At 41.5% G+C, this 26,872-nt stretch overlaps 1 protein-coding gene across 40 annotated transcripts in view, besides 3 other annotated features; it reads left to right on the plus strand.

Annotated features, from left to right (window-relative positions):
- ARHGAP26 (Rho GTPase activating protein 26) overlaps positions 1-26,872 on the plus strand; it is a 458,635-nt gene that overhangs the window by 135,609 nt on the left and 296,154 nt on the right. For 39 of the 40 annotated variants that reach the window (NR_146198.2, XR_007058592.1, XR_007058593.1 and 36 more), the window contains 3 exons: positions 1,719-1,819; positions 7,214-7,308; positions 26,062-26,140. Coding sequence is in view for 37 of the 40 variants with exons in the window: in NM_015071.6 (NP_055886.1) it covers positions 1,719-1,819; positions 7,214-7,308; positions 26,062-26,140 (275 nt within the window). In the remaining 3 variants the exon portion in view is untranslated. Of the gene's footprint in view, positions 1-1,718; positions 1,820-7,213; positions 7,309-13,225; positions 13,462-26,061; positions 26,141-26,872 lie in introns of those variants that run through there. The other variant, XM_047416993.1, reaches the window with a different exon arrangement.
- Positions 10,148-10,197: an enhancer, noted in NCBI's record as "active region_23320". NCBI's record gives its function as "activates an Ori minimal core promoter by ATAC-STARR-seq in GM12878 lymphoblastoid cells {active_cell/tissue: GM12878}" and the evidence as "EXISTENCE:reporter gene assay evidence [ECO:0000049][PMID:35858748]".
- Positions 10,638-11,138: an enhancer, noted in NCBI's record as "H3K27ac hESC enhancer chr5:142296188-142296688 (GRCh37/hg19 assembly coordinates)". NCBI's record gives its function as "activates a minimal SCP1, AML or CMV promoter by ChIP-STARR-seq in primed H9 embryonic stem cells {active_cell/tissue: H9 hESC(primed)}" and the evidence as "EXISTENCE:reporter gene assay evidence [ECO:0000049][PMID:30033119]".
- Positions 11,139-11,639: an enhancer, noted in NCBI's record as "H3K27ac hESC enhancer chr5:142296689-142297189 (GRCh37/hg19 assembly coordinates)". NCBI's record gives its function as "activates a minimal SCP1, AML or CMV promoter by ChIP-STARR-seq in primed H9 embryonic stem cells {active_cell/tissue: H9 hESC(primed)}" and the evidence as "EXISTENCE:reporter gene assay evidence [ECO:0000049][PMID:30033119]".

Here is a 26,872-nt window from a genome sequence, read left to right on the forward strand (position 1 = left end):
GGAACAGTTCTCCAGCTTTTCTTTGTCTTTCATGACATTGACATTTTTGAACAACACAGTCCAGTTCCTTTATACAGTTTTCTTCAGCATGGGTTTATCTGGTGTTTCTTCATGATTAGATTTGGATTATGCATCTCTGGTCAAATCCTACATAAGAGTTCTTCTCTGGGGCCACATCTGGACACATGTGGTGTCGACCTGCCCCTCAGTGGTGATGTAAATTTTGATCACCCAGTCAAGGTATTGTCTGGTTTCTCCACTATACAGTCACTATTTTCCCCTTGTAACTAATTAGCAATCTGAAGGTAACACCTTAAGATCATGTAAATATCCTTCTCCTTATCACACTTTACCTCCATAGATTTAGCATCCATTGACAATCCTTGCCTGAGCTGATCTTTACTATGATGGTTGCAAAATGGTGACTTCTCAGTTCCACCAACCCCTCCACATTTAATAGTTGCCATTCAGTGTACTTATGTAAGGAAGAGTCCTGCTCCTCTTTCTTCCTCCCTCTCTCCCTTCCTACTGTCTATCCATCCATCCGTCCGTCCGTTATCCATCTTTCCATTGTCAGTTTGGATTTATGGGTTCCTCTTTTGTTCAGGAGGCTATAATTTATAACTGTCCTTATTTATCTTGATGCTCAAGTTGTCCAAGATACAGTGCTTTGGGAATCTTTGTGTTGTTCAATTACTGGAATTTTTTCCCCAGTCTGTAAGAATACACTAAGATGGTTTGTATTTTCATTTGTCCTTGACGGCCCAGTGGAAACATTTACTGTTTTGTTTTTTAAGTTTACTAAATGACATCTAACACTTGCAGTTGGCAGTCATGCCATACCATTGATAATTATTAAACGTCTGCTAATTCTCTTTATGTTTAAACAATTTTTTTTTTTTAACAATTTCTGCTGTGTGATCTCCATAAGCACCTAAAACTAGTATTGGTTGAAGTCCTTTGCAGGCTGACTAATGCCTTCTTCCTTTAATAGTGCTTTGTTTTCAAGTAATTGGCTAAGCACTGAGTAAAATCAGAGACTTGGCCAGAATACGACTGCATGGCACCTCCCTCTTGAGGTGACATACTAATCTTGAGGGACATAGTCCTTAGAGGTTACATGTGGGCATTGACAGTCACTTCCACTCTGCATCTCTGGTGTCTCTGAGCTCTCCTTGTCTGCTTTTCAGATCTTCTTGAGTTCTGCTAAAGTAAGTTAGGGGTTTGGAAGTAGGTCAGAACCCCTGATGTCTGTGCACAGAGTCACAGAGCAGCTGTGTGGGAAGCATGATGTCATCGCAACAGATGGGAATGGTCACAAGCGCTTGGAGGAGGCTTTCTGCGTTCTCTCCTCAATCATCTTACTCCTGTCAGTGAAGAGAGTGGAAACTTCAGTTGGGGCTTGATGATGGGAACGGGGATTAGTTTCCCCAGGGAACCTTTACTTCCGTTGTATTTTAAGACCCACTGGATGTAGCATCAATGGGAAACAGTCTTCTTTGGTCCCTGGGGGAAATCCCGGGGTTGGTTTCATTTGAGCCTGTGGGATCAGATTTCTGTCTATTCATTCTAGCTAGTGTGGAGAATATATTACTTCTAACATAGTTTAAGGGTAGGGTAGATGAGCATTATGAATTATGGGTTGTGGTTTTTCCAGCTCATGATGTATAGCATACAGTGGAATGTATAGATATTTTATGGGAAATATTACCTTTCAGGTCACTTTGGAACTTCTTGGGTGAAGCACTACTGTACATATCAACGGGATTCCAAACAAATCACCATGGTACCATTTGACCAAAAGTCAGGAGGAAAAGGGGTGAGTTCATTTTTAAAATTTGATGTTTGATTTGCTTGGCTAACATATAATGATTATAATGCATGTATAAAGTAACACCTCCAGTGTTATATTTATGTTTCATCATAAATTTAAAATTAATAATTTAAAAAATTTTTATATAGTAGTTCAGGAAGCCTAAGAGGCTGAAGAATCGCTAAAATAAGATGATTACTCTTAGCTCTAACTTACGTTAGGAACTGCAGTTAAGAAATATTTTTGTATTTCACATATATACAATATCAAGCGTATCAAATATTTTTATATGCTGAAAATTATTGAATAACCTCATCCTGTGAAACTGATTCAGTCCCACTCCCACTTGATACCTGGAGAGCTGCCAGTGGCAACATAGATGTCCTGGTTACCTATTGCTGTGTAACAAGTCACCCCAAAACTTAGCAACATTTAAAACAACAGCAATCATTTTAGTATTTCTCATTGTTTCTGTGGGTCACGAATTCAGGGGGCATTTGGATGGGTGGTTCAGGCTTGAGGTTTCTCATAAAGTACTAAGCAGACAGTAGCTAGAGCTAGAACAAGGAGGGTCTGAAGCAGCTCAAGCTGGCCAGATACAGCTGTCATCCTCTCTCCTGTATCCTTTTCTTCCCTTTTCCCTCTTTCTCTGCATACTCCCAGGGCCTCGCCATTTGGTCTCTCTGTATTAGCAAGTTTGGGCTTCCTCACAGCATGGTGGCCTCAGGGCAGCAAAAGGTTTTAGGAGTGAATGTTCTAGAAACTAAAGTAGACACTGCATTGCCTTTTCATGACTTAATCTCAGAAGTCATAGAGCCTTACTTTTACCTTATCTATTGGTTAAAATGGTCACAATAGCCCTCTCAGTTTCAGTGGGGGAGGAGGTAGACCCTGCCTCTCCATGGGAGGGGCATCAAAGTCTCATTGTAGGAAAAGCACGTGGCATAGAAGGTGATATGTAGCTATCTTTGGAAGAGACAGTTGGGCACATATGGCTCCCTGGTGTCCCCGCCATTGGGCAGCTCCTTGAATGCTCCTAGTTCTTCCCTCCTCCTGGCTGTTGCCTCTCGCCTCCTGCCTGCTTGTGAGTCTCCTCTGAGTGTTCCCACAGCAGGCCACATGCATTTCTATGGAGGTGACCTGTCTTTTCTCTTTGCTCCTATGCTTTATTTTCTTCCTTTGATATTCTACATTTCATTATGATAGCCCTAGCTTTGATTTTTTTCTTTTTTAATCTATTGCTTGGGAGGTTTTGGTTTTCCAGGATTTGAGATTTGGTCTCTTCCAATAACTCTGGAAAATTCTCACCAATTATCCCTTTGAGTTTCGCCTCCTTCCCATTCTATTGTCTCCCTCTGGAGATATTTAAATGTTTTTAATACAAATATTTACATGTTTTATCTGTTTGAGTCTCTGGACTGTATTCTGAATAATTTCTCTTACTCTGTCTTCAGCTTAAATAGTTTTTCATTTGTGTCTAACCTGTCGATAAACTAGTCCTCTACAAGCATTCCACTTCGGTCCTCTCTGCAGTACATTTTTATGCAACATGTTGAGTTTGCGTGTGTGTGGGCATTATAGAGTAGGGGTTAAAAGCGCTGGCTTTGCTCTCAGTCTGCCTGGGCCAGTGCTGTTAGGTGCTGTTGTCATTACTGTTAGGTACTCAGCCATGTTGTGCTCCTTGTTCTCTTCCACTTCCAGTTTTTCTTCCTGGCTTTCTTTTACTTAAGCCATGATAGAGAAGTTTATCAGCATCTCTGTTCCTTCCCTGAATCAAAGCAATAACAAAGCCCTTTTTATGTTTCTTGGCAGGGGCAGGATTGATTTATAAATAATCTCAGGAAAACAGACATTAAAATGTCATAACAGAGAAATTACATTTAGGAGGAATATTAAAAACCTACATTATTAGGTGTCCCCTAGTTTTCATGAAATGGAAACAGAGTTGTGCCTGCTTTCCTTGGATTGAGCCTTAGTCCCTTCCCAATTCTTAGTCCTTCTAGAAATCAGCTTCACCAAATTGTTCTCTCACACAGTCTGTTTTTGGGCCTTTTATCTTGGGCTTTCTCAGACTTTTAATGAAGAACTCTTTTGTATTTTCTCTATTCCTTTCTTATCACACTTGAAAGTGAAGGGTAGAAACCAATTATAGTGGATGTTTGGTTCTCCAGAGACTTCAGAGAGTTACTAGAAAGCATGTCATTGGGTAGTGAAGAGGTTTATGTGAATTAGTATATAAAAATTTTTTGGAACAAATCCTGACACATAATGGGTGCTATATTAGGACCTTGATATTATAAGAGTTAATTTTCCTAGTAATTCCTTACATTTAAATTATGTTTTATATTTTTCTGCAACCTTTTATTTATATTACCCTGTTTGATCCAGTTTTCCTCCTTTTACAAAGGAGGACATTGAGGTTAGGAGAGAGTATGATTTCTAAGGTCATTTAACAAGTTACAGAGCTGGTGCTCAAACGCTCTTTCCACAGTCTGAATCTCCTGATTCTGAACTCATTATACTTCCCATGACGTCACTATTTCCTCAGCTTTAGGGTGAAGGAAATATGAGGACTGGCTGTCTAGAGGTGATGTCTTCTCGATTGTGTAGAGGAATCATGTGATGTTGTTGTATATATTTTTTAAAAATAGAGACCGAGGCCGGATGTGGTGGCTCACGCCTGTTAATCCCAGCACTTGGGAGGCTGAGGCAGGTGGATCACCTGAGGTCAGGAGTTCAAGACCAGCCTGGGCAACATGGTGAAACCCCATCTCTAATGAAAATACAAAAATTAGCCGGGTGCAGTGGCGCATGCCTGTAATCCCAGCTATTTGGGAGGCTGAGGCAGGAGAATCGCTTGAGCCTGGGAGGTGGAGGTTACAGTGACCCAAGATGGCGCCATTGCATTCCAGCCTGGGCGACAGTGCGAGACTCCATCTCAAAAAAAGAAAAAAAGAAGAAATAGAGATGAGTCTCACTATGTTGCCCAGGCTGGCCTCAAACTCCTGGTCACCTTGGCCTCCAAAGTACTGGGATTACCAGTGTTTTCTACTATGCTTGGCCTGCATACATGTTTGAACAGAGCTCTCCTAGGAGCTAGAGGTAGATAGAACATAGATAAATAGATAACATAAATATCTTTTAACCTAGATAATTGGGTGTTTTCTTTTCCTAACATGCTCTTTCTCCACCTGTTAGGTTCCCTCACTGTCCTTTTCATTTGGATTATTTTCCTTTAAAAGTACCCACTGTTCTCATAGCTTCAGATCTGGAGTTGTGAGCAGATTTGCCACATCCTCCTGGAGACCAGACCCTGTGTGTGACGGAAGAATTTCCCTGCATCCTACACTCTGACCTGAGGCACCTCTGCAGATCTGGAGCAGCCCAAAACCGATCCTATCCCTTCTTTTGATTGAAACCCTTCTTTATTTTCCTGCTGCTCTCAGGATACAAACGAGAATCCTACATGGTCTTGCCTCTGTCACTCCTCAAAGTCTTCTTCTTTCTACTTTCCCTCACTCTGGGCTTCTAGCCACACCAGCTGCCCTGCTGTTTCTCCAAGCCTATGTGGACCCTGACCCCAGGGCCTGTCCACCTGCTCCATTCCCTCCTCCTTATTTTATTTCCTATGAATTCTTTCAGTTTCAGCTCAAGAAAGCTTTTCCTAACCTTCCTGACCAGGTCAGATCTCCTTAACTTTGGCTTTTTAAAAACAGAATTTTTCATGGTTATAACTTTTCATTTACTTGTTTAAGTGATATCCACGTCCCCCACTTTTTAAAGCAATCAATAGTTGAACAGACCATCTTTATAGATTTTTGCTGATATGGTATGGTCATCCTTGGAACAGAATATTAATCTTCCTCCTCTTTCTGCATGTATTTGGTGATCCTTTATATATCCCTATTCCCTCCCATTTCTCTGGGACACCTCATGTAATCTTTCAAAGTGGAAGCTGGTCCATAGCCATTAAATCAGATTTATAGTTAGACATCAGCAAAGTCAGAATCTCTTATGTTTGGGTGTTTGCACTCAGATATTTTACAGACTAGAGAAAGAGCAGTTCTGTCTGAGAAATTAATCTTTGCTATTCAGTGGAAGACAATAGGTATAAGGCCTGTGAATATAAACTGTCTCCTCCTAGGCCTTCTGTGTTTTGTTTGCTCTTCTGATATTAGTGGGTGGTTAAATTTTACCTTATGTAGCCACACTTTCTGTTATTTCAACAAACTGGGCAAGCTTGCTAATTTCCCCTGTTAGTTTAGATAAAAAAGATTGACAGAGGCAGGAGAAACAGAAACCCTAACAAATTCCTAAGTGACAGTAAGAAGAAATCAGGGACAGCAACTTCTGTGTTTCTGGGCAATAAACTAGTGCTATGAGATGAAATTGTCACATTCAGTTGAACAATGGAATACTACTCAACAATAAAGAGAAATAAGCCCTTGATATGCACAACAATGTGGATGAATAGCAAAGCAATTACGTTAAGTGAAAAAAGCCAGACAAAAAGAGCACATACTGTGTAGTTCCATTTATATAAAATTATAGACTATGCAAACTAATCAATAGTTACAGAAAGCAGATTCAGCGATTGCTTGGGGATGTACTAGGAGGAGGGATGGATTGCCAGGGGATACAAGGAAACTTTTGGGGATGATGGAATTGTTTGCTGGCTTGGTTGTGGTGTTGGTTTCATGGATGTATATGACATCAAAATCTATAAGTTGTACAGTTCAACATGTACAGCTTATACCTTAATCATATGTCAGTAAAGTTGTTAAAATGTATTTATTGAGGAGCTACTCTTTTCTAGGATCCAGTTGGGCCCAGGAGACAAAAGTAAGCAAAATTTGACCCAGTCTCTGTTCTCAGGGTCCTGTGGTCTAATGGAGAGAGAGACATTATTGTATTCATCACCTATATCAATGCGCAGTTTCAGCTATGGTCAGTGCTGTGATGGAGGGAGATGTACATGGTGCTTTGTGAACACGTTCTGGGGATATTTGTTCTGATCCAGGAAGATTTTTTTGGAGAAGTGATGACCAACCCAAGATCATAGAAGCTCAGAGTTAGGAGGAGACCATCTTCTTCTACTCTTATCAAACCTGCAAATTAAAACAATGTCAACACTCGTTTATCTACCATGGACAGATGCGGTGCCATCATGATCCACCCGTACTAAAGATGTTTGGGTCCAAGTCTAACATGGTATACGAATGTAAGCTGCATGAGGCTTTGTCCTGGAAAGGTTTATAGTCACCCTTCCACTGCCCATGGTCATGAGCACTCAGATTTGAGAAGATGAAATGATTGCTCCTGTTTACATGTCATGTATGTCCTGGGAGGAGTAGAGCTCCCATTCTGGCCTCATCTTGATAGTCTGTGTGTTCCCACTAGGGAGAAGATGAATCAGTTATCCTCAAATCCTGCACACGGCGGAAAACAGACTCCATTGAGAAGAGGTTTTGCTTTGATGTGGAAGCAGTAGACAGGTGAGTAGCTAGCATGCTTTTCTCAGGAGCAAATAGAGCTGAATTTCTATATCTTACTTTTTCTTTCCAGTCAAACCTTTTCTGCTTTTTTCCCCTTCTCCCCCTCCCTCCTTCCTTTCCTTCTCCCCCTGCCTCCTTCCTTTCCTTCTCCATCCATTCATCTATGTCCAGGGTGCTGGATCCAGGCTATTGCTGATTTGCGAGAATCATTAGAACCTCCCTATCTTTTGGGTTCAGCACTGAATCACTGGCTTGGTTTTGTTTTACTTTAATATTAGTGCTTTCATGCTCAGAAATGTGTGTTATATCTCCAGGAGATTGAGTAGTAGACTTTTAAAGAAAAGTATTTAGCATGATTGTATCAGCTATTTGAATTTTTTTTAACTGAAAAAGTTAGTATAATGATTCGAAAGGCATTGAAATGGAAGAAATTTTTCTCAAATAAAAAAACAGCTTTTAGTTACATTTCACCTACCAGTGTGTGTGCGTGCCCAGGAAAGACACCAAACCACTCGTGAAATCACAATTTTTTGGAGAGAGAGCCGTGTGTTGTATTCCTCGAGATTTATAGAGTCTCTCATTAAGTTGTACCATTTCGTGGTGTTAAGCTAGTTTGACAACATTCCAATTCTTTGAGACACTTTACTTGGCAACAGGTTAATTTTTTCAATGAAACCCACGTGTTAAGCTTATTTGAGCTGCCTGTTCAAGATCAGGAATGCTAGCACCAAGATCCTTAAATCTCAGCATGATACTCCGTATAATGCCATTTAATCTCTTCCTTTTATTAAAAAAACATTATACCATTTCATCAAGCCAGTACTCACCCCTCCCTGGGAAGTTCATCTGTGGCCACCTTTCCCTGGCTCTATGGCATCCTGAGACTGAGTACTGCCTGGGGTTGCACTGCCTTCTTCTGGCAGGTGTCTACTCTGCACTGCAGGCTGCTGGGGCTGCTGGAGGCTGTTAGGCCTCCCATGGAGACAGCGTGCCCCCTTAGCCTTTATCAGAAATTCGTGGAAACTAACTGCATCTCTTAAGCAATTTAGTCATTACATCTTTGGCTGTCAAGCCAGACAACCTGGGTTCAAATTTTGACTTTGCTGCTTAGTAGCCATGTGACTTTGAGCAAATTACTTAATCTTTTGGAACCTTGATTTTCTCACCTGGAAAATGAAGTTCCCAGGATGGTTATAAGGATTCAAGGAAATAATGCATGTAAAATGCTTGGCAGAGGGGCAGATAATAAGTGCTCAACAAGTATTAGCTGTTACTCTTTTTTGCTAATAGCTTATCCTGCGTGCTCCTCAGACTTGGTATTTCACTTCTAAACACAGAGAGGTACATATCCTTTACTGTGTGTAGAGGTGTGAGAGGGGAAGGTAAAGAAGAATAGCATGGGTGTGGGGTCGGAGGATAGCTTGAACTGGGGTAGCAAAGGGGAATTGCAAACAGCCTTCCCCAAACCAAATTTTGTTATTACTGGTTTTAAACAAAACCTAAACCTTGGTGCTTTAAGCATCTCCCTTCTCTTTTCTAAGCATGTGATTGAAGGGAATTCATATTATTGGCATCCTTGAAGGAGGTTCAGAAGATCTGTTTGCATGGAAGTACAGCCACCTGTGATGCTCATCAAATGCACAGTTCCTAGAGATAACCGTCTGCTGCAGAGCTGCTTTGAAGAGGGCATGCTTTGTGTTGCAGCTCTCTGTCAGATTGGAAACAAGCCCAAATTTGCTTTCTGAAGCTGAATTATTTTTGTGTTTTCATCTTCAGAAGTTTCCCGAGAAGTTGCGGAGAGTGGCTTTTTAGGCGATTAAAGCTCACTGTGGCACCTCCATCTTATTTCCACCCTTGCCAGCACTTCCTAGCACCTTCCCTCCTTTATGACTCCCACAACAGCTGTGCATGTCCCAATCATAAGCAAAGAGCGAATGTGTCACATTCAGCATACTGAGTGGGCTTGCGAGTCGATTGCTCCTGAGTTTCTGTCCCTGGTTCCCTCTGCATGGCGTGGAGAGATTTCAGTCATGGTTCAGTTGAGGGGGCTGAATCTCCTCTTTTTTTTTTTTTTTTCTTTTTTGAGATGGAGTCTTGCTCTGTCACCCAGGCTGGAGTGCAGTAGCATGATCTCGGCTCACTGCAACCTCTGCCTCCCGGGTTCAAGTGATTCTCTTGCCTCAGCCTACCGAGTAGCTGGGACTACAGGCACTCGCCACCATGTCCGGCTAATTTTTTGTATTTTTAGTGGAGACGGAATTTCACCGTGTTGGCTAGGCTGGTCCTGAACTCCTGACCTCAAGTGATCCACCCACCTTGGCCTCCCAAAGTGCTGGGATTACAGGCATGAGCCGCCACGCCTGGCCTGAATCTCCTCTTAATGAACAGGAGGTAAGTAGACCGTCCTAGGAAACACCTCCTCTCAGTTTTCTATATAGATCCCAAAGATTAGGTTACAATACAGCAGGATTTTCCTCCTTTCTCCTTTTTTGACCCCAGTGCCTTTCTGTTTTTTTTCCCTCAATATTTAGAAGGGAGTCCGGGTAGAGAAGGAAAAGGCATTTTCATGCGCTGGGTAGCTGCATCCCTGGGAACTCTGCCCGGAATCCTTTTCTCTCAAAGACTCCTGTACTTTCCTTTTTCACCAATGTCCTTTAGCGAGGAGGTGATTGCTGCTAGATGCCCTGCTGTCCTGCCTTCCACAGGTTCCCCAGCTCCACCTGCTGGACCAGAGAGGCAGAGGATCAAAATGCAAGTTTAGCACCTAGGAAATGTGGAAGTGAAAGAGGGGATGGTTATATTTAATCGCATAAGGGTTTAAGGTACTCCTGGAGTATGTTAACTGGAGAATACACAAACATTTATGTAGTGACTAGAAATGTTTTATTCTATCAAGATACAAATACATGTTGAAGTGTGAAGTATGTGACTTAGAATATGGGATATTGTGGATTTTTAAGATTGAATACATTTATCCTTTATACTTAATGCTGATATATCATGTTATTTTGTAACAAAAGCTGTATCCTTTAGGAGGTGATATCCTAGGAGGTCAATATTGTGAGTTGATTACCGTACATCAACGTATTTTACTGTGGTGAAAACCACGTGCACTCAGTTACAGATTCCTGGTGCTTGTCCCACACCCACACAGTTCGACTTTCTGGGACTGAGACCCTGAAATCCATATTTTCAAGCTTTTTAGTTGTCCTTTATTCTTACTACTACTTGGTATGTTAAATACAATGTGTTTCACAATACAGTTTCATCAGAACACATGAAAACATTTTCCTAATTTGAAAAATCACAACAAGCAACTACAGCAAAACAAAACAAAAAAAAATTCAGGCTCCTCTACTAAGGAGCTGAATGCTTACCTGTATGGAGGAGGAGAATGTAACTACTAGGAAAGGTGATTTCTGGTCTCTGAGACAGATTACTTGACCAGGCAAAAGGCAAAAACAACCACCACAATAAAACCCCTGCCTTTTTAAAGGATGTGAAAATGGAGGAGGAGTGAGGCAACTGGTAGTATCAGAGCATTTCCTATAAGCTGAACACTTTCATCCTTGTGTTGTGTCATCCTCACTACAACCCAGGGGGGTAGGTCCTCCATTATTCCCATACTGCTGAGGAATCTGCAGTGTAGGGTGGTGAGGCCGTTTACTCAGGGCTAAGGTGGGATTTGAACTGAGGTTCTCAGGAGCCTGTTCCAGGGCACATTGGTGCCTCAAGACTTTGGAATTTTTTTTTTTTTTTTTTTTTAGATGGAGTCTTGCTCTGTTGCCCAGGCCGGAGTGCAGTGGCACGATCTCAGCTCACTGCAGCCTCTGCCTCCTGGGTTCAAGCAATTCTCCTGCCTCAGCCTCCTGAGCAGCTGGGATTACAGGCATGCACCACCATGCCCAGCTAATTTTGTATTTTTAGTAGAGATGCGGTTTCGCCATGTTGACCAGGCTGGTCTTGAACTACTGACCTCAGGTGATCCACCTGCCTCGGCCTCTCAAAGTGCTGGGATTACAGGCGTGAGCCACCACACCTGGCCTAAACTTCAGATATTTTAGAAACATTTTCCAGTGATGAGCTCAGAGCTGTTGGTGGTTGCATTTCAGAGACACCGCAGTGTCCAGTTTTCAGGCTGTGAAATCTGGGAAGTGCTATTGGCACCCTGTCAGTTGCATTTGGCATTGTAAACTACAATGAAACTGTACAATATAAAGTACAATGAACTGAAGCAGCAAATTTGCCTCTCTTCTTATATCTACTCCTCTGTGACCTTCAGAAAGTCCTCCCGTGACTAAATTAAAAGAAGCAATGCAGATAGAGCACAGTGACAGGCACATGGCACTGAATAGGTGTTCCATGAATGGTTTTTTGGTTTCTGTACACCTTTTCTTCCATCTTTTATTTATTTGTTTAGAGGTGGGTGGGGTCTCCTCATGTTGCCTAGGCTGGAGTTGAACTCCTGGGCTCAAGCAATCTTCCCACCTCAGCTCTCGAGTAGTTGAGAAGATAGGTACACCACTGTCACTGTCCCTAGCTCCACCTTTTATTTTTAAGGTGACACTCTTTTTTTTTTTAATCCAGGACAGCTAGCATGAGTAGGAGATATCCTAGCAGTAGTATCACTTGTCAGCTAATTGTTTTCATTGTATCACAATACATTGCTGTCAGTTTGTTAATCCTCAAATCCCTGACACATAAGTCCTACAGAAAACTGTTGTCATTCTTTGAACAACGAATGAACTGAAAATCAAATTAAGTGTTAATCCAGGCCAATGGGATTTAGATCTATGGTTCTTGAACTTTATGTTTCAAGGATCCATTTTATTTTATTTTATATTTTATTTTATTTTATTTATTTTATTTTTGAGACAGAGTCTTGCTCTGTCACCCAGGCTGGAGTGCAGTGGTGTGATCTTGGCTCACTGCACCATCTGCCTCCCGGGTTCAAGCGATTCTCCTACCTCATCCTCCTGAGTAGCTGGGACCACAGGCATGCACCACCCCGTCTGGCTAATTTTTCTATTTGTAGTAGAGATGGGGTTTCACCATGTTGGCCAGGCTGGTATCAATCTCCTGACCTCAGGTGATCCGCCTGCCTCGGCCTCCCGAAGTGCTGGGATTACAGGTGTGAGCCACCGTGCCCGGCCGAGGATCCTTTTTAAAACCAAATACATTTCTAGAAATCTACTTTTAATTCTTATATATCTAAGTTGTTTTACCTTTGATATCTAAAAAGTAGACCTATACTCTCATCTCTGTGTCCACACCCTTTTGTATTGGCTTCTACATGATTTCAGAGGTCACATCTCCTCTAATTTCTTTTCTCTAGTGCCTTCCTTTTTTTCAGAACTAGTTTTTGGGGTGGGGGGGATGTTCAAACCTGAACTACTGAGGACCCTAGGATTACATGGAGCAAATGTTTCACAGACTAATGTTAGCTCTTCATATCTCTGCTTTCCCTCAAAAAGATTTCATTGTTCCTAACATCAAAAAGCTAAAGTTAGTAGAAATTCTTTGTATTTCTTCAATCTCAAACCGAAAACTTGCTTGGATCAAGGTATCATGTCAGTCCAATCAATATAATGATTCTTTGAAGGTTCCTTCTGATTTCTTTTGAAATTCAGTTTAAAGACTCTAGCATTAATAATATGATATGGCTTTAAATAAATGTAACTTGTAGTAGTTGTGTGGTATGGCCACAACATGCTCCAAAGGATAATTTTAAAAAATTTCCTAGCAGATACTAGTTATAGATTAAATTGTGTCCCTGCCAAAATCATATGCTGAAGTCCTAATCCCCAGTATCTGAAAATGTTGCCTTATTTGGAGATTACTTGATAGAGATAATCAAGTTAAAATGACGTCATTAGGGTGGGCCTTAATGCGATATTACCATTGTCCTTGTAAAAAGGGGAAATTTGGACCCAGAGATGGACATGTACACGAGAAGATACCGTGTTAACATGAAGGCAGAAGTCGAGGTGATGCACCTACAAGCCAATGAACACCAAAGGTTGGCAGCAGAGCACCAGAAGCTAGAGGAGAGGCATGGAGCAGATTCTTCCTCACAGACCTCAGGAGGAACCCTTGATCTTGAACTTTTAGCCTCTAGACCTGTGAAGCAATAAATTTCTGTTGATTAAGCCAGCCAGTTTGTGGCACTTTGTTACGGCAGCCCCAGGAAATGAACGCAGTTTGAATAGGGAGGGCCTTTCTCAATGAAGCAGCACTCATGCACCCAGCAGCCTTTAAATGGATAACTCAACACCTACTGCTTGAACAATCCCATTGCCAAGGAACCCCACTTCACAAAGCAGCCCATTCACATAAATTACCTTCTTCCTTTCTTTTCTTTTATTTTTTTACATGATTATAGCCTAAGCTTTCATTAGCTTTTTAAAAATCACCCTTTTTTGGCCTAGCGTGATGACTCATGCCTGTAATCCCAGCATTTTGGGAGGCCGAGGCAAGTGGATCATTTGAGCTCAGGAGTTCAAGACCAGCCTGGCCAACATGGCAAGACCCTGTCTTTACTAAAAATATAGAAAAAAATTAGCCGAGCATGGTGGTGGGCACCTGTAATTCCAGCTATTCAGGAGGCTGAGGCAGAAGAATTTGCTTGAACCCAGGAGATGGAGGTTGCAGTGAGCTGAGATCGCGCCACCACACTCCAGCCTGGGTGACAGAGGGAGACTCCATCTCAGTAAAATAAAATAAAAATCACTTTTTTTATTCTTTAATGAAGCAGCATTCTTGGGTGCTTTTGTATTACTTTGCCATAGCACCAAGCATTTGAAGGTTTATAATTTATATTGGTTAATTGAATAAAGACTAGATTGATCATTACAAAATGTGTCAACTCTTTGAGAGGATTTAGTGTAAAATTTCTGGGTTAAAAAATGGGACATGATTTCAAAGCAGCCATTAGTGGTAGCAGGATGTGAATCGGTAGTACTTGCTTATGTCTGTGTTCTGTCACTTTGAATAATTCACTCCGTCATGCAGTGTCTTAAGGAAATTCATGAGCAAATATAGGGAAAATATTTGTTTAGGCTAAAGAATCATGGTACTAGTCATTTGCCAGCATCCCTGGATTTGTTTATTTTCAAGAAATTTCTCACAGATGTAAGTGACACGTGGATATTTTCTCTCAGGTGTTTTCCAGGAGGGCCTAGTAAACCATGTGAAAAATAATAAAACTTTTTCTGATTCCCTGAATCAATAAAGTCTCTTGAGGGGCAGTGTTTACACTGGGGAAGGGAAATGATTACTTTTTTCTGGGGTTAGCTGACTCTCACCAATGTCCATACATTTGAAAATGCTGTGTGTTAAGTGCCCCTTTCCCAGCATTGGTACTCTCTAGAGGTGGGCAGCAAGGATAGCTTCTTAGAGATGGCAAGGATATTTAGTGCTGGAGTTGTAATAAGGGATAAGGCAAGAATAAACTTATCTTCATGGAGCTTACCTTTGAGTTTGGAATGCTCATATATACTCAAGCAACTAAGGTATAAACACCAGGATGTTGAGTGTTCCAGCAAACCTGGAGGGCCAGAATACTGGGGGGAAAGTAACAAACAAGAGGACTTTACCCTTCCATTCTTACAGGGGACGATGGCATGACTGGAATACGCTGAATTCATTCCCTCCCTCCTTCCTTCCTTATTTTATTGAGCATTACTACATGCTAGAGACTACTGGCAGTGGAGATATAAAGTTTACAAATCTGTAGGACTTTCTTAACAGACCTCATCTGATTTTCTTTCATACCAGTTCCAAAGTCCTTGTTTTGCAAGCTTTCCATGAATAGGTAAAGGGCAGTAGCTCTCCTCTGATCTAGTCCCAACCTAGCATTTCACATCCACTGTCAACTCTATTCTTCTTCTTCCCAGGTAACCTGCATTTGCACAGTAATAAGCTTTTCTTTGTATTGGTTGGTTGGGTGTTTAATTAGGTATGTTTTATATACCTCTGTTCAATTCTAAATATCTGTCTCAGGTGATTTGCTTCCAGAGGCAGAAGAACATTTTATGCAGCTTTTAATACAGTAATATGTGCATATGGCTGTTCAATTTTATTTTTTATGGTGACGTAATTTTGACATGGGTTAATTATTTTCTTTGAGGCCATGGTAAACTATTGTGTAAGAGACTAGAGGAGCTTAATCAAGTTAGTTGCTATTTAAACTAAACTTTTAGCAGGTGCTCACTTAACCTGCATTTGTGTACTGTTAGGGAAGAGACCCAGGAAAACTGAAGATTGGTGAAAGTCAGAATAGTGGAGGCCAGAAAGATTTTTGAAAGATCTGAAGAATCTACTGGAACCCTCAGCACCCTCATTTCAAATATGTTTGTATGGCAGGCTGCATGATGCAGGTAAAAAAGATAAGAGCATTCCTAAATTTGAATTTGGGATCTGTTCCTTACTAGCTGTGTGACTCTGGGTAAGTGGTTTAACCACATCTGTAAGATGGGGTGAATTATCACTACATTGCAGGATTTTTTCTGAAGGTGGAACACACTAATATTCCCCTCTGATGGAGTCCTATGTCTGAAAACATGGCTGTTGAATTTTTTTCTATACCCTAAAACCTGGGGCTTTATTGTTGTGATGGTGAACCTTAGCTTTGGTGGATATTCCTGTGAGCCTGCTTTTTGTCTTAATGGTGCTCCTTTTCCTGTAGTGTCATGAGTTTTCAAGTTATCTATAAGCTGAGAGGAAATACAGGTGCATTCGGGTTATATGTGCAAAGGGCCTGCTAGGGTAAGATTCCATTTTCAAACTGTGTATGTGATAACCTGTTGTTGATACATGCTTCAAATAAAGATAAAGTGTTATGCCCTCTCTTTCCAATTTATGGCCTCAAGAAGAAACTGTATTAATTTTAAATTAAAATAATATTGTTTCTTCTAGCTTGCTAAGAGGTGTGTGTGTATGCATTTGTGTGTTTTTGTGAAATTGTGTGACTGAGATTATGTGTTTTCCAAAAAGGATCATCTTATGTAACAGACTTTGTTTCAACATTCAACCTCTAGATGGCAGTTTTGTGTATGTATTAGTAACTATTAGAAGGTCCAGTTGAAAATCAGCTGTCCTATATACACCTTGTATACATTGACAGAAGAGTGTGTGTGTGTGTGTGTGTGTTTTCTGTAGAAAAAAATAATCATGAGAGTATTATTCCTTAAAGGAAGAAGAGTATCCTAAATGACTCATTCATTCTCTAGAAATTCCTTCCTCCCACCCTTTCATCACAAATCATTCATACCCACTTTCTTGCAAAAACAAACATGCTCAGTTAGTTGGGCCTCTGTTTAAACATTACCCTTTACCTGGCTCTTTGAACTAAAGTGCCAGGCCCTTTGCTTTAGGAATGGCTTATTTAGGATGGTGCAGAAAAGATGAGTGATTTCACTGTCCTGTGTGTGCTGAGAACCTGGCAGTCCTACTTTTCCCTCCTGGTGCAACGTGCCTTTATCTTTTGCAACACATGAATCCATTTTTCCTGGTTTCAGACTTCCCCTCCCTCCCCTTCTCACCCCTTGTTTGAAATAATATTTTATTTTGCCTTCCTGCTGGTTGGATTAGAGTGCTGGTCTCAATGCCATGACATTTCAGGCAGGAAATGGAGTTTTCCTTCCTCAGAGGGTGTTATATGACTCTGACTTCCATGACTTGAGTTGGGAGACGATACCATAGTTTCTGAATTGCTTTTTGGCTGTTCTGTAAAATAAGTTAGTGGAGAAGTTCTTGGAGTCTTAGAATTCATGTAGTTTGAACTTGTCATGGAGTTTTTTTTTTTCTTTTAATTAAATGAGAGCATGCCTGTTTGCTGTTTGATTCTGGTTTAACAAAGAATGGGGTATGGTGGTTAATGGACTTGATTGGGAGGGTGATTGAGGCAACCCTATTTTTACTCTTTAGTCTGCCTGGTGAAATATGGAGTTTTATTGGTTGAATATACCAGTTTATTTACCAATTTCTAAATATAAAATGAGTTTGTCTTTTTAAAATCAAAACCAAAAATGAGCTATTATGTAATTCTGGATAGAAGAAACAGTTCAACCAGTACATTCCACTTATGTACATTTCTGTTGATTGTGAGATAGAATAGTAAAAATGAAAAAAAAATACATGAAACAGAAGCTATATTTTCATAGTTTGTTATCAATAGTAGTAACAGGTATTTGCATTCTCCTTGAGTCTCACTCATCCCATCAGTGAATAATGCCTTGTCCTTGTGCAGTGTGTTAACATTTGCTTGCTTCTATGTCCCTGATACCTAGCATGATGACTGGCACATAATAGGAACTCAGTCAATATCTGTTGCATTTAAGAGCCATGCAATTTAATATGCCAAAGATGTCTTTGGGCTTCCCGATGTTTTACGACTTCAGTCTCTCATAAAAATGTAAGAACTTATCTGATGTGGTTGGTGATACCTACTTTTTAGACTATTATTATTGCTATGATCCTAATTATTTTAGGAACATTCCTCTAAAAATACTAAGGTTGCAGGCTTTAATAGGTTATGATTCATTCATTTATTAGGATCAGATCCTTTTTTTTTTTTTTTTTTTTTTGATACGGAGTCCTGCTCTGTCGCCCAGGCTGGAGTGCAGTGGCGCAATCTCCGCTCACTGCAAGCTCCGCCCCCCGGGTTCGTGCCGTTCTCCTGCCTCAGCCTCCCAAGTAGCTGGGACTACAGGCGCCTGCCACCGCACCTGGCTAATTTTTTTGTATTTTTAGTAGAGACGGGGTTTCACCGTGTTAGCCAGGATGGTCTCGATCTCCTGACCTCGCGATCCACCCGCCTCGGCATCCCAAAGTGCTGAGAGGATCAGATCCTTTCTAAATAATTGATTAGAAGCTACTTCCAAAACCTTCTTAGAGGGTTGACCCTTGCTTCCTCCCTCCCTCCTCTTTCCAACTCTCCTTCCCTCCCTCCCTCCTTCCTTCCTTTCTTCTTCTCCTTAAGATGCTGGTCTTTCTGGATCCCAGGACATGTATGCTACATGCACAGGGGGGCAGTACAACATTGTCATTAAAGCATGGGCTTTGCTTTAGATTCAGGCACACCTGGGTTCAAGTGCAGGCTTTGGCACTTACTAGTGGTGTGACATTATGCAAGTAATTTATGTGAGTCTCAGTCTTTTCACTTTTAAAAGAAGAAATAATGGTAGTGTCTACTTCATACAGTTATTGTGAAGAATGAATGATAATACAAGTAAAGTCCTTAGCACAGTGGTTAGCACATAATAAACACTCAGTAAATCTACCTGTGGTTTGGGGGCTGCCAGTTGCAGCATCTTCTGGTTTCTTACTTCCTCTGTCTCTCACCTGTACCACACCCAGATTATCATGGCATATTATTAATTCTTTCCATGCACAAAGGTCTTGCAGAAGGACCTCAATGGTTTATTACATCAGAGCACGCATAGTAGTGCAGATTCATATGTTCTGTCTCCAAATAGTAGATTACCATTGCCTTCCAGTGATGGCACTGTGTCCTTGAGTATTGGAAGAAAAAGGGAAGTAGCCCAAGTTCCTCCTTTGTGGATGACCTGGAGATACTCTCCTGAGTTTGACTGTAAGGTGAATCAAGAATATAGACAGGCATCCTTCATTGTTGGTCTTAATGCATGAGATGGATGACTTTATAACATGTAATGATGACCTAGGGTGAAGCTCAGATAGATTCAGAGGAAGACACAGACAACAGAAGTTGCAAACTGGTGGTCCACAGACATGCTTGGTTTGGCTTGAATAGTGTTTGAGGCAACAGTTTAAAACTGAAAAAAATCTTTAACTGCTGATCATGCCTTCCCGCATGCCAGCTACCGGTTGAGCTGAATGACAGATATTTCCTTTAGGTGGGGTGTGTGCTCTCTGTTCTGCCGCAGTCCCCACCATGCCCTGTTGCCCACCTCCCCCATGAAGACGAGTGACAGCTTTTTTGCTTTGCACTTGCACTGTTGTTTTTCCCACAGAGGGGAGATAATTCTTTGTTCTTTGTTTCTATCTGAAAGTAAAACTGCAAAAGAAAAAACCAAGAGCAACATAAGACCAAGTCTATTTTCCTTGGATTAAAGAATTTCTTATCCAGTTTCCCTAATTTTTCTTACTTACCGAGTCTCCGTAGACATTTGGGTCTGTAATCTCATAAACAGACATGGAAAAGGTGTCATTCTCCAAGATTATTCTATGTGGCTTTGGCCATATCTTTGTGTAAATGAAGCTCTTCTGAACCCGAACCATTGCATTGTCCAGGAACTGTTAGGAATTCATTTTCCCAGTAGCACTTTAGAAACAAAGGACCACTTCCCTTCCCTGGCACTTGCAAAACTCTTCTTGCAAGTGGATGGCAGCTGATGCTCCATTCCTTATCATTCCCCTTTGTCTCCTAAATAAGCATAAGGGGCAGGTTTCAGACACAGGCTTTGAGATTGTGTGTTCCTGTGGGTGCCTCAGCTCTTCTACTTTGAATTTGACCCTTAAATATACAGTAGTGTGGATGGAAGCTGGGGAATGAACTCTTGCCAACAGAAGATTTATAGTCTTATGAATGAGTAAATTCTAGATCTTTGGAGGTTGATTTAGAAAGAACGGTACTGTTAAATTCTGAGTGTTTTTGTTTCAGTGGGGTGGAGTTAGTAATAGCTTTTCCTTGTCCAATAGGAAGTGGGTAAATTGCCAAACCACTGAGATCACTATTGTTGACTCAGATTCAGGAATAAGATTAGCGTAGGAAAGCTGTCGAGTAACCCTGGAATTGGGGCTGGTTGTGATTCTGTTTGCTCTTGGCTGGTGAGGAGGCTATGAGTTGGTATAGCCAGTGGTCCCAGGATCCTGAATGTGTTGCTAAACCATATACTGCTTTCCATGGGCTGTTTTTAGGGGCCAGGGTTGGAGGAGATATGGTGTTGGGTAGCAACTTGCCCTGTAATAGATGGAGAGCTGTTTTCTCCATGGCTCCTGCAGTGTGAGAGGTGAGGTGCCAGCTTAGAGAAAATTCCAGATCCTCGTTCATGATTCTTAAGCAGATCCAGATTCTTAAGCAGATCCAGATTCTTAAGCAGATATAGCACTAAGGACATATTCAGAGTGAAAAGGAAGTGCTGTATTTTAAGTGGATTCTTAGGGTTGAGCTCTACAGAGGATTTTTAAGTCATTTGCTCCTTCTCTCATCTGGCGGGTGGAGGGAGCTCCTTGGCAGATTTTTTAGAATTTGCCAAAGACCCCTTCTCTGTTCTTATTAGTTATCAGATGTTAATTTTAAAAGGGAGTGGTAGGCCACTTTGTTGCGTTACTCAGGAGGAGAAAGGAAATGGCCATTATGTCAGTGCAGGTGTGTCCCTTCAGCCCTCAGCCCTGTGTGCTTTGTGGTAGAGGCATGAATTTCAGTGCTGTGTATGAGTGTGTTGGGAGTGGGAATCACACATGTCATTAGCACCTGTGGGTTGTTTCTTTTCCCTTTGAAACTATACACACCTGCCCTTCTGCAGCCGTAATTTTAACCTTACCCCATACTTACCATCCTGTTCCTGCTCACCCCACCTCTACCTGCCCCTGTGATTACAACTAATTTTTGGAGCATTCATCGTGTGCCTGACACTTTGAAATGCCGCATACACTTCTCATATAACCTTCCCAGCATGCCCTGAGGTGTAATCCTGGTAACGCTGGGAGACAAGTAATTGAACTGCTCTATGCTACTGTTCTTTAAAACATAGGTAATAAGAGTAGCACAGAATAGTTCAGTTGCTAGTCTGCCGTGGTTATACATCTAGGAAGCACTAGAATCAGGATAACTAGTGAGCCTAAGTTATTGATGAGAAGTCATAGCTCTTGGGTATTTAAAACGATTTTTACTGAGGTGTAATCACAGTAAAATGCATGACTCCAAAGTCTGTATTTTAATAACTTGTTATACACACACAACTGTGTAACCACCCAGATGAAGATATAGAATGTTTCTGTCACTCCAGGAGATACCCTTGTGCCCCTTCTCAGTCACTGCCCATATCTCTTTTCAAAAAAAAAAAAAAAATCACTCTTCTGACTTCTGTTGCCATAGATGAGTTTTGCAAGTATTTGAACATCATAGAAGTGGAGTCACACAGTCACATAATCTTTTGTGTCTGGTCTCTTTCCCTCATCATTATGTCTCTGAGATTCATTCGTGTTGTTGCATTTAGCAGTAGTTGACTCTTTTTTTAAAAAAATTGTTGTATGGTATGCCATTGTTCAAATATACAACAGTTTATCCATTTATCAATGGATATTTATTTGTTGTTGTTTTTGCAATTTTTGGCTATTCTAAATAAAACTGCAGGTATTCCTGAATGCGTCTTTTGGTGGACATATGCACTCATTTCTCTTGAGTATATATGTAGAGGTAGAATTGCTAGGTCATAGGGCAGGTTTATGTTTAGTTCTAGCAGATATTGCCAAAGTAGTTCCATCAACTTATTCTCCCATCAGCAATGTATGAGAGTCCCAGTTACTCTACATTTTTTGCCAGTATTGGTTATTGGTGGCCTTCTAATGCCCTCTATTCAGGAGGGTACTTGTTATATCTCATTGTGGTTTTAATCACATTTCCCTCATAAGTAATCAGTTTGGGCTCTATTTCTTAGCCTTATTGGCCATTTGGATGTCCTCTTTTATGAAGTGCTTATTCAAGTATTTATTGTATTGGGTGGTTCATTTTTTCTTACTCACTTGTAGGCATTCTTTACATATTCTGGATATGATTCTTGCAGGAGATAGATATTACAGATATCTTCTCTCACTCTGGTTTGACTTTTAATTTTTTAAATAAAAGTAATTAAGTAATTAAATTCATCTTTTGATGAGTGTAAGTTCTTCATTTTGGTGAAGTCCAATTTTTCAATATTTTTTCTTTATGATTAGGACTTTTTGTGTGTGTGTGTTTTTTTTTTTTTTTTTAAAACTCATTGCCTTTTCCATCTCTTGAGTATTTTAAGACAGATAAAACATGGAGAACCACTTCTATAGAAAGTAAGCCCCAGTTATTCTGGACGCTATTGAATTCTTGTTTTGGATTAGCTCGTTGCCTAGAGTAGCGTTGTAAGCCCTCATATTTATGAAGCACTTTAGGTTTTTACAGAGCTCTTTATCATTCAATCTCATTTAATCCCGTGCAGGAGCTCACTAAGGTGTTTGCAGAAGTGCATGGCTGATTTTGACACCAGAGGACTTGGGTGGTCAACGTGAGCTCTCTGGGGGCTGCGGTGCCATCACATTTGCCATGGCATTGTGCACAAGAGTTAAGGGTTGGAATGCCTGTGTTCACATCCTGGCTCTATTATCTTGCCAGCTCTGTGATTGTGGACAAGATACTTAACCTCTCTGAGCCTTGGTTTTCTCATCTGCTAAAGGGGAATAATAAGAATATACTTTTCTCATGATGTAGCTGTGAAGAGTGGGTGAATTAATTTATATATAGTGCTTAGCACAGCAACTGGCATATACTGCTGGGTTATAATTATTACTGTTCTTTTATTGTAGAGGGTCTAATAGGCTCACAATTCTTTGTAGAGGTAAAAAGAGCTCTGATATTTACTCCAATTTCTCTTTCATTGTTTTATATGTTCCCTTCCTCATTCCATATTATCCTCCTTCTTTTTTTATTTTGAGACGGAGTCTCGCTCTGTCGCCGGGCTGGAGTGCAGTGGCATGATCTTGGCTCACTGCAGCCTCCGCCTCCAGGGTTCAAGCGATTTTCCTGCGTCAGCCTCCCGAGTAGCTGGGACTACAGGCGTGTGCTACCACGCCCAGCTAATTTTTGTATTTTTTAGTAGAGACAGGGTTTCACTATGTTGGCCAGGATTGTCTGGATCTCTTGACCTCATGGTCCGCCCACCTCGGCCTCCCAGAGTGCTGGGATTGATGTTAGTCACTGCGCCCGGCCTATCCTCCTACTTTTAATCTCTCTCTTCTCTGTCTCCCCTGCCCTGCCCATTTTTTGCTATGAAGAACCACATGCATTTCAAACATGAATTAAATTGACATCCTGTAAGAGAAGGTCTCAAAGTATGTTATTGTATAGGAACTGACATGGAAAGTGGAGGGTCGTTGAGGGTTTTGCTTGTTTTATTTTGTTTTGAGGGATAGTTGTTAGTAGGGACATAAGGAAGGTAAATATGGAAAGAAAGTTATTGTTTTACTCCAGAATAAAGATAGTTCACCCTTTTTATCTTGGTTCTTGGAAATTCACATGCAAGACATGTGAATCCGTCCCCTACCCCACTTCCCCTGTAAAAGGGAACAAGACCACATGTGGAAAAGAACTTGTATTTTGATATTTCTTCTTGGAATGAAAACAAATCCTGTTGACTTTCCTGGTTACCAAGGCCAAGTGGCCCACCCTTCACAGCCTCTGAGGTTGTCGAACTTCCTCTGTGGCTTGGGGTGGAAATCTCACACTGTGTGCCATGAAGTTGATGTAATATATGTGAGCCCCTGAGACCTTGGTATGTAGACAGCTCTTGTGATCTCACTGTTTGCTGGTGAGCCACTAGCAGGAAACGAACTAGAGACATGTTGGCTCCTTGACCTCACTGCAGAAAGGAGGGTAACTTTGCTCTCTAGGGCAGGGGGAACAGGAAGGAAAAGAGTAGGGATGGAGTGGACAGCCCAGGGTGTGGGCCTCAAACTTAACTCTGCATCAAGATCACCTGGGGAGTTGGTTAAAATCCAAGTTCCCAGGCACAGCCCAGTTCAGATTGAGTAGAGTGGGGTTGGGCTGGAATCTCCATGTTAAGGGAATGTCTGATTCTGAAGCAGGTGGTACAGGAGCAGCACCTACAGTAACACTCAAAGACCCAAAACCGGGGACTTGAGAGTTCTGCAATAGACAGTAGCTGCAGAGGCTTTTTGTTTCAAAGCTATTAAGACGTCATACTTGGTCTTTAGAGAAAGGTGGAAGGGTGGAATCAGTTCATTGTGCCCTTAAGCCACAGGGTCAGTTCTGTGGAGCCACCACTGTCAGCAGTCTGCAGATATCCACTGAGTCTGGCACACTGAATGGGCTGATGGTGGGAAGTGGGCACTTGGTTGGGTCTGAGAATGAGAATTTCTGAGAAGAGGAGGGAGAGTCCTGGAAGGTGCTCATGGAGAGAAGAGTTATTCCATCTTCTGAGTCATCTTTGTATTGTGGTGCCAGTCCCAGTGTGACCTTCATGGGAATGACCATCCTCTTGGGATCAGTGTTCCACCATCATCAACACGCCCACTCATCTAGCTGCCCACGCCTCCCACCCACATACAACCCCACTCCCCTTTCTGTCTCTTGCTTGTTTTCTCACTCCCTTCTCTTGCTCGTTTGCATGCTTTCCCTCTGTCTCTCCCGACCCACACGCATTTACACCCTCACACATTCACACCCCTACCCCATGCCCCTTGTATCCTCAACCTGTCTGTATTTACATGCCCACGGCTCTAAATTTTTAAGGGGATGTCAAGGAATGGTTAATGAAAAGAATCAAATGTGACTTTTAAATTATGTTAAACACAAATAGGTTTAGCATATTCATTGGAACTATAGCTATAAGCCAGAAGCAGAGATGATGGGTGGGTGAGAATGACCAGGCTTGGGTGCATATGGGGCCCAGGCTTGTGCTGCTCAGGGTGTTGCTCAGCCTGTGTGGTTTTAATACCATATTGTTGTATGATCATTAGCAGTGTTTGTGTACTCAGACAGGAATCGGACTTTAGTTCTTGCTCAGTGGACCTCTTCCTCCTTTTTAGGCTGTCTCAAATTTTAAAGAGGATGGTTTTAACTAGCAATTCTTAACTTTTTGAGGGTTGCAGTTCTCTTTGAGAATCTGACAGACAATTTGAATTGTTTCTACAGAAAAATCCACATACATTTGAGGGAGAGGAGGAGGTGGTTTGGGGACACTCTGGGATCTATTTTCACCCTAAATGAAGAACTCCTGCTTTAATGGGCATAGAGGGCTTTCAGCCGCTTCTCCCAAGGTCGTTTTTATGGCGCAGTCTCTTTTTCTTGCGGAGTACCATTTGTGATGGGAACTGAACAAAACCCATTTGATATTGTATGCATGTCTTCTGGAGGGCTTGTGCTCAGTTTTAGAGAGCAAGCAGATTTCAGTGAGTGAAATGATCTCATGCATGTAAAGCACTTAGCACCTGACATGATTAAGTATTCATTTTTAAAAAATACTGTGCACATTTAATCATAACTACCAAGATGATGACCACCATAAAACTTCTCCATGTCTGAAGCAGTTTAGAAGCAGTGGACTAGATATTAGGAGACAAGCATGCCTCCAGGTTGGATATTTTCTCCTCTTTTTTTTATCTTGAGTCCAGTAATTCCATTCACTTCCACAAACATTTATTGCATTTCTACCGTGAGTAAAATACTCTGTTAAGCGTTTTGAGGTCTAGAAATGAATAAGATTTCAAGGAATTGAACAACGTCTAAAGGCATCACTTAACTCCTCTACGTCCCTTACCTGTAAAATAGGATCATGTCTTCTGTGTTTCTGCCTCTCTGAGGGAGATGGGCTGACTGAGAGGAATTTGGGCCATCCTTTCTGAGAGTAGAAGGTGGCTTAGTAAAGCCGAGTGTTTTGCCCCTCTTTGTGTTGTTAACCTTAGCAGCCACTGACTCTTTTGAGTGGATGTTTAAGATTTGCCTTCACCAATCTCTCTACATGTGGCACTGGTTTCATATCCATGTCCCTCCTTTCTCTGCAGGCCAGGGGTTATCACCATGCAAGCTTTGTCGGAAGAGGACCGGAGGCTCTGGATGGAAGCCATGGATGGCCGGGAACCTGTAAGTAACAATTCAGGGAAGTAGAGCAAGAATGAAGGCCCTGAGTTGTTTGTTGCTTCCCTAGTGCAGTGATTTTTGCTGCTGTTCTAAAGCCTTGGGTTCTTGAAACCAGTGTACCAGAGGTGGTTTTTTATTCCTAGGTTTATGTTTGTGGATATTGATATTGCTTCTGTATAGATGTAGTTCTTGAGCTTTGGCCTCTCTGTCCTAAGGCATGGCTTCTGCATAGAATTACACCAGAACTCCCATCTTTTATCATTGACTTCTGGTTCAGCCTCCCGTAGTAACTTACCTCCCCTTATAAGCAGCGGGACATTATCAGGATGGATGGAGGGAGGTGAGCCTGGTAATATGATCCCTGCTGCCATTTCAGCGATGCTGGCCTCAGCTGGGTGATGTAATCTTGTAGTTGTTCTGCATCTTGTGACGTGTAAAATCCATAAGAGCCCTGGAATCACTGTAGTCGTCTTATCTTAGTTCCAAGGATCTCAACTCCAGTGTTCAGCAAATCTCAAGGTTGCAGAAATTGTAAGAGTACAGTCTAACTATGTGCCACCAACAAAAGAGAAAAAGAATCTACAATGCCAGAGGGCCAATAATTGATACTTACACAGGTACTGTCCAAAGGGAGGAAATGTGTGCAAGGAAGAAGTAGGCCATGGGCTCCATTGACTATAGAACTCTTTGCGTCAGGCTGGATAATGCCAGCTGATTTGTGTGTGTCTTTCTCAG

The sequence above is a fragment of the Homo sapiens genome, chromosome 5 (assembly GCF_000001405.40).
Source record: "Homo sapiens chromosome 5, GRCh38.p14 Primary Assembly".
NCBI classification, from domain to species: domain Eukaryota; kingdom Metazoa; phylum Chordata; class Mammalia; order Primates; family Hominidae; genus Homo; species Homo sapiens.